Source organism: Homo sapiens, chromosome 2, assembly GCF_000001405.40.
Source record: "Homo sapiens chromosome 2, GRCh38.p14 Primary Assembly".
Lineage (NCBI taxonomy): Eukaryota > Metazoa > Chordata > Mammalia > Primates > Hominidae > Homo > Homo sapiens.
Genome location: NC_000002.12, coordinates 219,947,097 through 219,959,211, shown reverse-complemented (window position 1 = coordinate 219,959,211; position 12,115 = coordinate 219,947,097). Strand labels below are relative to the sequence as shown.

The 12,115-nt window shown below is 38.4% G+C and overlaps 1 long non-coding RNA gene across 1 annotated transcript in view; it reads right to left on the bottom strand.

Moving 5' to 3' along the window:
- The window catches only part of LOC105373891 (uncharacterized), an 87,352-nt gene extending 75,982 nt beyond the window's left edge, over positions 1-11,370 (bottom strand). The window contains exon 1 of the long non-coding RNA XR_001739888.2: positions 11,068-11,370. This is a non-coding gene — a long non-coding RNA (uncharacterized LOC105373891). The remainder of the gene's footprint in view (positions 1-11,067) is intronic.
- Between the last annotated feature and the right edge of the window lie 745 nt (positions 11,371-12,115).

Sequence of the window (12,115 nt, the reverse complement as noted above, 5' to 3'; positions counted from 1 at the left end):
CCATGCATTTTCTTAGCTATCTCGTGTAAACCTCTAGGGCAACACTGTGAGGGAGACACTGTCATCCTCATTTTCAATGAGGTAAGTGTAAAGACCCACATGGTGATTACTTTGAAGGGAACACCACTCCTTTGAATGTATAAGTCCTGGAATTTTTCTTCAAATCAGCCACAATCTTTTACAATCACACCTTGTATGTTCCCAGAATGTTCTGTTAAATAGGATTTTTGTAATGTGATTCTCACTTTAAAGGCACCAAGGGAATTTGGTATTTTTAGGGAACACTTCAGAGAACCATTTTATAAAAACAAATAACCCTTTAGTGCTGTGAACACTAAATTCTTAATGTAGCTGTTTTGTGAGTTAGGTGTTTTTTCAGAGCTGATTTTTTTCCAGTACACTGAATCTGTTTTCAATGCATATCCCAAAAAGTGTATGAGTAAGTAAGAGAAGATTTAAGAAACTAAGTGTTCTGAGTAGAAGTCGTAAGCTTTCAAAGTCTGCCCTCTAACATAATAATGATAAAGAAATTTTAAGCTCCCTCCCTCTCTCAATTTTCCAGCTGCAAAATTTGAGTCATTTCTTCCTAGAAGAATGTCTAATAGAATTTAAGATCACGTCTCTCCATTCTACCTAAGTGGCCTTTCTACCATCAATTTTCTGTCATTGTGGCGGACGGGCTGACTGTCTGCTGAAAGGCTGGGGTGACTTGGTTGGCTAAAACAACAGCACGGACCATCCCTAACCCAACTGTTCTGTACTCCACTGTTAGTAACATGAGAAAAAAACTAACTCAGTTGCAATGGTCTACTTGGTTGTACCATAGGCAGAGAAACAAACAGAGGCATAGGACTTTACAACAGAGTGTTCATTTTAAAAAGAGAACTGAAAAGTCAAGTGTTTTACAAGTTAGCAACCAAGTACAGCAGTTATATCCTAGGGGCCTAGCAGAGATAACCTCTCAGGAGCTACTGGTAAAAGAAGGGGATGGAACACAGAACAAACCCCTGGCACTGGACTGAAACTTAGAAGAAGTTGCATGTTGAAGTATGGGCAAGCTTTATTCAGAGGCTGGCTTCTAAATGTTCAGAACCCAAATTCACAGGCGGTGGTTACATTCCCCAAGTAGCCTAGAAATGCTTATTTAGTCCTTAGCATTCTTGGAGAGTAGCCCAGACACTAGCTTTGCTAAGGTCTGGGCCCTAAAATGAGGTAGATGACATGATACTGGGGAAAGAGGAGGAAGTGAAAAAGGTAGACATAGAGAAAAAGTAAAAGGTAGAGGTAGTGAAATATGTTGGCCTGAAACAAAATTCTGAAGTAATAAACATTTAGGTTTGACATTTCTCAATCTCACTTTTTGAACTACATTCCCAGTACTTCATCAAATTAACACTCAGGCCTATACTCTCTCCACCCAGTGCTTAAAACTCATCTTTATCTGCTTAAATCAGAGCTCCATTGAGAGAATAGAGGAGATGTTCCCACCAGACTAACCCTCTCATAGAAAACAGCTATAAACTCTTTTAAAAATATAAAAATTAACCCTAAGGCCCTAAAAAGTCACCAAAGCAGTGAGAAAATGGAGGAGGGTAGAGGGAGTCTTGCTTAGGAGAATGCTGAGTGCTTTTATAGTTCTTTGTCTCTGGACTCAGTCAACACTAGGCCAGACAGCTAAAACTGGGATCAAAAATCAGCAGCCTTTTAGCTTGGATAATGAGTAGACAGTGGTGTGACCACCACTGCTGGAAAGCCAGAGGGGAAATCCTGGAAAGGGGGTGACCAAGGAGAGTGCTAAATTGTTCATATAAACTAAGCCCAAATCTCTGGCTCATCCCTAAACTATGCATAGCACAGGGCAGACCCCAAGAAGCCCAGCCAGGGCTAAAAGATCTGAATAGATATTTCATCTGCTGCCTACCTCAAAGGAAAAAGAGTTTGAGTCTGAGCCCAGCTAATGCTGCTGAAACAAACAAGCAAAAAAATCAGTACTCTTCAGAGGAACATAACAGAATTCAGAGCCTCAACAACATATTTCTTACAATATACATACAGAACACAATCCAAAATTGCTAATCATATATTGATACAGGAAAATGTGACCTATACTCAAAAGAAAAGGCAATCAATAGTGACTAACCCCACGATGGCCCAAATGTTAGAATTAGCAGGTAAGGATTTTAAAGCAGTTTCTATAACTTAAGAATGAAAAGAAAAACTGGCTCATAATGAAGAAACAAATAGATAATTTCATTAAATAGAAACTATTAAATGATTGAAATTCTAGTACTAAAAAAAAACATCTGAAATTTAAAAATTGACTAGATAAATTTAACAGAAAACAAGATAACAAAATAGAGCACCTGTGAACTTGAAAAAAAAATCAATACAAATTATTGAATCTGAAAAATGGGGAAGAATTGTTTTTTAAAAAGGAGAGTATTGGCCAGGCATGGTGGCTCATGCCTGTAACCCCAGCATTTTGAGAGACCAAGGCAGGTGGATCACGAGGTCAGGAGATCAAGACCATCCTGGCTAACACAGTGAAACCCCGTCTCTACTAAAAATACAAAAAATTAGCCAGGCATGGTGGCAGGCACCTGTAGTTCCAGATACTCGGGAGGCTGAGGTAGAAGAATGGCATGAACCCAGGAGGCGGAGCTTGCAGTGAGCCAAGATTGCGCCACTGTACTCCAGCCTGGGTGACAGAGCAAGACTCCATCTCAAAAGAAAAACGGAGAGTATCAGCATTCACTCACACCTGTAATCTCAGCACTTTGGGAGGCTAAGGCAGACAGATTGCTTGAGCCTAGGAGTTCAAAACCAGCCCAAGCAACACGGCAAAACCCAGTCTCTACAGAAAAATACAAAAATTATCCAGGCGTGGTGGTACACACCTGTAGCCCCAGCTACTCAGAAGGCTAAGGTGGGAGGATCACTTGAGCCCAGGAGGTCAATTCTGCAGTGAGCTGTGAACACACCACTACACTCTAGCCTGGACAACAGAGCAAGACCCTGCCTCAAAAACAAAAAGGACAATATCAAAAGATGTAACATATGTATAATTGGAATTCTAGAAGGAAAGTAGAGAGAAAATGGGATAAAAAAAACATCTGAAACAAAGTAGGGCACAGTGGCTCACACCTATAATCCCAGCATTTTGGGAGGCCAAGGCAGGTGGATCACCTGAGGTCAGGGGATCGAGACCAGCCTGGCCAATATGGCAAAACCCCATCTCTGCCAAAAATACAAAAATTAGCCTGGCATGGTGGTGGGTGCCTGCAATCTCAACTACTCTGGAGGCTGAGGCAGGAGAATCACTCAGGAGGTGGAGGTTGCTGTGAGCCAAATCACACCACTGTATGCCAGCCTGGACAACAGAGTGAGACTCCATCTCAAAAAATATATATATATTTGAAACAATAATGACCAAAAATTTCCCAAATTAGGGGAAAGAAATTAAATTTGCAGATTCAAGAAGCCTAGTAAGGGCTGGGTGCTGTGGCTCACACCTGTAATCCCAGCACTTTGGGAGGCCAAGGCAGGCGAATTACAAGATCAGGAGATCAAGACCATCCTGGCTAACACAGTGAAACCCCATCTCTACTAAAAATACAAAAAATTAGCCAGGCGTGGTGGCGGGCACCTGTAGTCCCAGCTACTCAGAAGGCTGAGGCAGGAGAATGGCGTGAACCTGGCAGGCGGAGGTTGCAGTGAGCTGAGATTGTGCCACTGCACTTCAGCCTGGGTGACAGAGTGAGACTCCGTCTCCAAAAAAAAAAAAAGAAAGAAAGTAAGAAAAGAAAAGAAAAGAAAGAAAGAAAGAGAAAGACAAGCCTAGTAAACCAAAACAGAATAAATAAATAGAAAAATACAGCTAGGCACATTATAATCAAACTGCTAAAATCAAACAAAGAAAAAATCTTGAGTCCAGACAGAGAAAAACAACACATTATATACAGGAGAATAATAATAATGAATGACCATTGACTTCTGATCAGAAAAAAGAATGAATACCAAAGGACAGTGAAACAACATCTTTATGATGCAGGAAGAAAAATCTGTCTACTTGAAATTGTATGTAAGAAAAATATCCTTTAAGAATAAAGAAAAAATAAAAACATTTTCAGATACACGAAAACTTAGTGAACCCATTGCCATCATACCTGCACTACAAGAAATGTTAAAAAAAATTATTCAGACTGGAAGGAAATGACCAGTTGAAACTTGAATCTTTAGGAAAGAATTAATAGTATGAGAAGTGGTAAAATATGCATTAAAAAATTTATATTTTCTATTTATTTAGAAGACATATGAGCACTTAAAGCAAAAATTTAACGTCCTATTTATTGTGCAGTTTATGACACATAGATGTAATACATACGACAACTACAGAATAAAGGATGGAAGGTGAGGATAAAAGGGACAAAGAATCTGAATAGTTCTTGTATTTTTTATAAAATAGTACAATTTCAACTCTATATGAATGAACTATGAAAAATTAAGGAATTAAGGTTATATATCATAATCTCTAGAACAGCCAGTTTTTAAAAAACTGTCAGGAAGTATTCATTCCTATTAAAAAAAAAAAAAAAAGCCTTAAGTTTACAGAAAGAATTCCAAGAAAATGTTCACAGCAGCTTTATTCATGAGTCAAAAATTGGCATGCATTAACAGGACAATAGCTAAGCATCCTGTACTATATTAATACAGTGGACACATACAACACTATATAACAAAAGAGAAGAACTACTCATACGTGCAGCAACAGGAATGAATTTCAACAACATTAAACTTAGTAACAATGTTCTAGAAGAGATTCAATTTACCTATAGTGAAAAATTACCAAACTTGGAATAGGACAAGATTTGCTTAAGAAAAAATGAGGGAACTTTCCAGGGAGAGAGTAATGTTCCATATCTTCTTTTTTTTTTTTTTTTTTTTTTTTTTGAGACAGAGTCTCGCTCTGTCACCCAGGCTGGAGTGCAGTGGCGTGATCTTGGCTCACTGCAAGCTCTGCCTCCCGGTTTCACTCCATTCTCCTGCCTCAGCCTCCCAAGTAGCTGGGACTACAGGTGCCCGCCACCACACTCGTCTAATTTTTTTGTATTTTTAGTAGAGATGGGGTTTCACCATGTTAGCCAGGATGGTCTCGATCTCCTGACCTCATGATCCGCCCTCCTCAGCCTCCCAAAGTGCTGGGATTACAGGTGTGAGCCACGGCACCCTGCTGTAATGTTCCATATCTTAATAAGAGTTTGTATTACACAAGTATATGCATTTGTCAAAACTCATTGAAGGGCATGAGTAAGATTTGTGCAATTCATGATATGTAAATTTACCTCAAAAAAATAATGGGGTCAGACGCAGTGGCTCATGCCTGTAAGTCCAGCACTTTGAGAGGATGGGGCAGGAGGAGTGCTTGAGACCAGGAGTTTGAGACCAGCCTGGGCAACATAGTAAGAGCCCATCTCTATAAAAGTTTAAAAATTAGCTGGGCATGATAACACACACCTGTAGTCCCAGCTACTTGGAAGGCTGAGACAGAAGAATCACTTGAGCCCAGGAGTCTGTACAGTGAGCTATGCTGCCACCACTGCACTCCAGCCTGGGTAACAGTGCAAGACTCTATCTCTAAAATTAAAAAAGTAAAAATTGAACAATAAACAAACATCAAACTCTAGTTAATGATATATGTGTTAAGATATATAGGGAAAAGTGCTCTGGTGTCTTCAATTTATTTTGAAATGCATCCAAAAAAATGAATTAATGGATGGTGTATTAGTCCATTTTCATGCTGCTGATAAAGACATACCAGAGACTGGGCCATTTACAAAAGAAAGAAGTTTATTGGACTTACAGTTCCATATGACTGGGAAGGCCTCACAGTCATGGCTGAAGGCAAGGGGAAGCAAGTCACGTCTTACATGGATGGCAGCAGGCAAAGAGAGAGCTTGTGCAGGGAGACTCCCATTTTTAAAAAACCATCAGATCTCTTGAGACTTATTCACTATCACGAAAACAGCATGGGAAAGACCGGCCCCCATAATTCAATTATCTCCCCCCAGGTTCCTCCCACAACACATGGGAATTCAAGATGAGATTTGGGTGGGGATACAGCCAAACACAGGAATGAAGAGATAGCTATGTAATAAAGAAAAATGCCAATGTTAAAATATAGGAGGTAGCTTATAGTAAGCTGAATAATGATCCCCAAATGTGTGCACACCCTAATCCCTAAAACCTGTGAATATGTTACCTTACACAACAAGAGGTATTTTACCAATGGGATTAAGAATCTTAAAATGCAAAGATTATCCTAGAGTATCAGAATGGGCCCAACGTAATCCCAGGGTCCTTAAAGAGGGAGGACCCTGGCAGAAGGCCAGAGGCAGAAAAAGTGGTATGACTGCAGAAGCATAGAATGATGTGACCACAGCCAAGTAATATGCACATCTTCTAAAAGCTGGAAAAGGCAAGGAATAGATCCCCCCTAGAATTTCCAGAAGTAACACATCCTGCTAGTACCTTGATTTTTTATAAGCCTCATTTTAGACCTTTGACCATCAGAATTGTAAGATAATACATTTGTGTTCTTTCAAGCCACTAAATTCATGGTAATTTGTATAGGAGCAACAGGAAACTCATACATAACTATAACATATATATGGCTGTTCACTGCATAATTCTTTGGATTTTTCTGTATATTTGAAAATTTTCATGTTAAAATGTTGCAATTTTTAAAAAGCTTCCATTGGCCAAAGGTAGGAATAGGTCAAATAAAAGCTAACTGAACTATTTTACTCCAATATCTGCTCAGCTAACAATTTCTCAACCCTGTCAAAGTTACTTAAAGGTTTTAAGTAGGACCCCTGTGAGTCATTAGAATTTTAATTGTCCTGATTAATAAAATCGATAAAATTCTATTAATCTTATTTATCTCCTACTGATTGATAAAATTACTATCAGTAGGAGAGAAAGTGAAATAAAATTTTCTGGAGAATGCAGAAGAAATCACTGTTTTTATTTAAGGAATCCATCACACAGAGAGGTGGGCCTGGCCTGGAAATTCTCCTGGATCCCATTCCCTCAGACGTTACCATTGTTTATTTCTTCCTCTACTTCTGAACCCACAGGTCCAAATACCCAAGATGTATTGTTATATCAGGTTGGTGCAAAGGTAATTGAGGTTTTTGTCATGACTTTTAATGGCAAAAACCACAACTACTTTTGCACCAACCTCATAGTTTATTGTTTCTCTTCTTCCCAGGAATCCAGGAATAGAAGGAAGAAAGTAGGATGTGGGTAGGGGCCAGCAGCAACTCTTTGATTAGGTCAATGACTTATATGTAAAGATTATTTCTAAGTTAAGTGCTTATGAATCAGAAATCAGCTTTATTAGAGAAAACTAGTCTCCTTTTTACCCAAATAATGATCAATTTTGGTCTTTTCCCTTTTTCTTCTTTTTTTTTTCCTTTTAGATTTTAGTCACCCAAATCTAGAAGTTAGCCTTCATTATATTATTCTAAAAGTATTACTGCCTTTAAAAAGAACAGTAAAAATTCATACTAATGAGAAAACAAAAAGCAGGCAAACCTTAAGTTGATCTTATAATTTCTGGTTCCAAATGGCAAACAAAAACTTAAACAAAAATTTTACACCAAGTTGATAGGCTAAGCCATGAATAAAAATAGTTATCATAGTCATGCATGAAAGAACTTGTACACACCCTCTACACAGTTGTGTTCTCAGAAAGGGGGAGATCTGACTTCTCAAAATCTGTTTTTCAAGCAAAATGAATAAATATCTCCAATATTTTATAAGTGCCAAATATGGCAGATGGCATTTGCATGGGGATTACATAATCACACTGAAAACCAACCATAAAGTTCTAAGAATATACACAGAGTGAAAATACCTCTAACTCATCCTCTCACTAACCAGAAGAGCTGTCCTTCAGGAAGGGCCCACAGTCTTTGAAGGCTACATGGAGAATTGCAATCAGGGGAGAATTCCATTTCTCTGGCTCAAGAATGAAACTGAAATCAAGAGTTCAGTCAGTGCCAGTGTTTTCTCATTATCACAAACAGCCCAGTGATTTGAACCTAACATAGCCAGTGAATTCAAGGAGGATCTACTTTGTAAACCCTTGAATTATTTTCATGAAACATCCAAATTTTTCCATTTTTTAGTTTTTCGAGCAACAGATATATCTTCAGAAATCACTTACATCCTGTTTAGTACTAAGCTTTAATCATGTCTCAATATACATTTTGGATAAATGAATTTGTGAATATGTGAAGTTATGTTTTAATACATGGTCTTGTTCTGTAATGAAACATGAGGGAAAATCTTTCTTCCCCTCAATCAGACCATAACCTCTTTCTTTTTAGAAAGGGACACAACATTTATCCCATTGCACCTAGCAAAGGTGGCACATTTAGCCTCTCTACAAATACACGTTGACTGGTTAATATGGCTATAGATAGGCAAGTACAAATCTTTGTATGGTCATATGTTTTACGTTTTTTTGAGTAAATTCTTAGAAGTGGAAATGCTAAGTCATGTGGTAAGTACATGTTTGACTTTATAAGAAATTGCCAAGCTCAGGATTTACAAGTAGCTATGATTACAAGTGGCTATATTGTTAAACTAGCTTTATTGAGCTACAGTTTTACATAAAATTCACCAATTTTAAGAGTACAATTGGATGAATTTTAACAAAGTTTACAATCATGTAACTACCACTATAATCAAGACATAGAAAATTGCCATCACCCCAAAAAGTATTTTCCTGCTCTTCCATCTCCCTACTCCCTAACCCCAGGAAACCACTGTCTATCACTATTGTTTTATGTTTTCTAGAATTTTATATAAGTTGAATCATACGTGTCTGGCTTCTTTCACTTACCACAATGCATTTGATATTTATCCACACTGTTGTATCAATAATTCATTTTTTTAACTTTTTTTGAGATAAGGTTTTGCTCTGTTACCCAGGCTGGAGTGCAGTGGCACAATCACAGCTCACTGAAGCCTCAACCTCCTAGGCAGAAGCAATCCTCCCACCTCAGCCCCCCAAGTAGCTGGGACTACAGATGCCAGCCACCATGCCCAGCTTTTTTTTTTTTTTTTTTTTTTTTTGTAAAGATGGGATCTAATGATGTTGCCCAGGCTGGTTGCAAACTCCTGGGCTCAAGTGATCCTCTTGCCTCATCTTCCCAAGGTGTTGGGATTACAGGCATGAGCCACGGTGCTTGACCCATTCTTATTCCTGGGTAGTATTGTATGGATATATCAAAGTTGATGGATATCTGGATTGCTTTCAGTTTCGAGCAGTATGAATAAAATGGCCATGGACAGGCAAATATAAGTCTTTGTGTGCTCATATGTTTTATGTTTTCTTGGGTAAATTCTTAGGAGTGGAATTGCTAAGTCATGCAGTAAGTATCTGTTTGAATTTATAAGAAACTGCATTCCCACCAGAAGTATATAAGCATTCTGGTTGTTCCACATCCTCATCAATACTGATGGCTCATGGTGGTATCTCATTGTGCAGTTTTAATTTGAATTCCTCTAATGACTAAAGTCATGAAATACCTCTTCATGTGCTTAACAGATTAATTCCAGTCACTAGGTTTTGTGCATATTATTAAGAACAGCATCAGAAGGGTCAAACATTTTCTTCTAGAACATAGCCACTTGTAAACCCAGAGCTGGGCAGAGTCTTGAATGACTGTCTTGAGATAAACCACACCTAGAAAAAGATACACGCCTAAAAGGGAGCCATACTTTAGAACAATATTTCAAAACTAAAGTTGGATAGTTAAGGCCAGATTAATTATCCATTTCTTCTTCCTTAGGAGAGAGAGGGGGGAAAAAAAACTCTCATCTCACAAATAGATCTGGAAATGGTGCAGCAGTTCCTTCTCTAACAGTCTTAACTAGACACCCCCACACAGCACATCACTAGCTATCAGATGGCCATATGAGATGTGAAGCCTTCAGAACACTAAATTTGCCTCTCAAAAGAACCAAATGTTAAGCTGTACCACACATGTCGTTAGTCTCTTGTAGTATTCAATTTTCTCTTCATCTTATTATTTTTAGGTGGAATTCAAAACACCCACCAGGGATTTTTTTTTTTTTCTTATGAGCGAGAACGTTGTTTTGGTAGAAAATGTGTTTAACTCCTAATCATTTGTCAGGGTTTTTTTTTTTTTTATATGAGATGTAACTTTCCATCTACTTAAAGTACAGTAAATTACTCATATTCAGGACATCAAAAAATGTTACCTCTTTACTTAGGAAAAGAATAAAATCAGTCTATACAATTACCTCTCCATCACTAACAATCTTGAAAAAAAGTTCCAGGGAACTACTTCTCTCTATAACCCTTCCAAATTCTTCACTAGAAATTAGTATAGGCCCTGGGTCTCTCCTCCCAATTTTTGTCTTCACTCCAACTGTATACTGTAAAGCTTGCTCGCCAACCATTAAGTTGGAGAATCAAGCTCAATAAATTGGATTTTTTTCCAAAACAAGAAGTCTCTTCAGAAGTAACTTATATAATAACCTTATTGCTTTTCATCAGAAAAGAAGAAAAAAAAAGATTTGAGGCAAAAATCCATTTACAGCTGAGATCCATTAATTTGCATCATCTCCTTCTGTAATCTTAATTTGTACTTATATCTGCTTGGTGATTACAAATTTAGTTGGCCAGCCCACACTTTGACTCTGTGGGTACAAAAGTATGGCCAGGATGAAATGAATATATCTTTCTTTCAGGGACTCTGGATGAATCTATTCTCTTTCATAAACCGTGGGTGATGGTAACTACATCTGTATCAATCTAGATTTCAGTTTCCACCTTTAGGAAAAAGGGACTATTCCATTTTTATAAATATTAAATGCTTGATTTATTTCTTTAACAAGAATATTTTCCAATGTGACACATGACATTTTAAATAAATATAAGTTTAAATGAAACATAAGCTTAAATGCCTAAGATTTAGCTAAAGAAACAGACCGGGTACCAGATGAGAACAGTGTGTTTCATTCACTTACGTGTTAATTACTCCAACAAGGAATAAGTCCCCAGCGACATTTTTCTTGACATCCATCCATCAGCTCTTTTGTGGAAATTGAAGTTTCAAAATTCAAAAGGATTGATAAACACAATTACAGCTTGCCTCCTTTTCTATTTTCTCATAGTAGTCCTTTGCCACAATCCATCTCTATATCCAGCGCCAGGACCTTTTAACTCCCAAATAGTTGCCCCTGCTGCCACCCCCAGTATACTCCAAAACACCAGCCCCATACCATTCATGAGCTAACCTTCATTCCCTTCATCTCTGCAGTCGCAGGAAGAAGAAAAACATGGTCTAACCCATTTTTGTAGTTGTGCCCTCTTGTGACTAAAAGACTTGGTATGCTTGAAGCCAAATTCACAATGCAATGTGCAGCAGAGGCATGAGGGAATCTGAAAATAGCATTCTTACAGCTCAAAGCACCATCTTAATAAGAAGAATCACTGATTTTGCTTTATAAAAAATTCACTACACATGGTAATTATTTAAACCATGCATTAGTAATGCCTTCCCAATATCATATATATGTCCAAACACGGTTATTCCCTTTAACAATAAGTCCACTTGTGGGTATAGGATAAGGGGAGAAACTCAGCTCATGCTGCCCTAGTGAGCTACAGATGCAGAGCCCAAGAAGGGTTACAGGCTGGGGCACAACAAAGGTGGGCCAGTGCCCTAGAATTCTCAAGCTACCTGTGCCAACGGCTCTCTTCCTCCTTGCCTCCTCCCCCGACTAGAGCAGGGCTGTAACTATGCCACTTTGGAACAGTTCTTCCATGAGGTTGCTGCAATAAACACTTGCTGGTGGGCCAGTTGATTGAACCTGCAAAGCCTTCCAAACCCTGAAGGCTCACAGACCTCAGGCCTTGGCTAGAATTTGCTCACCACAGGAGCCCAGGGGAGTTTCCGGGGTCCCCCACTTTCACTCTCATGCCTGCCAAGTGGGACTCTCAAGTAGAAGGAATTTAAAGGAAAGGAAGAAAACCAGCTCAGAACATGGTATTCCAATAAAACTGGTCCTTTAC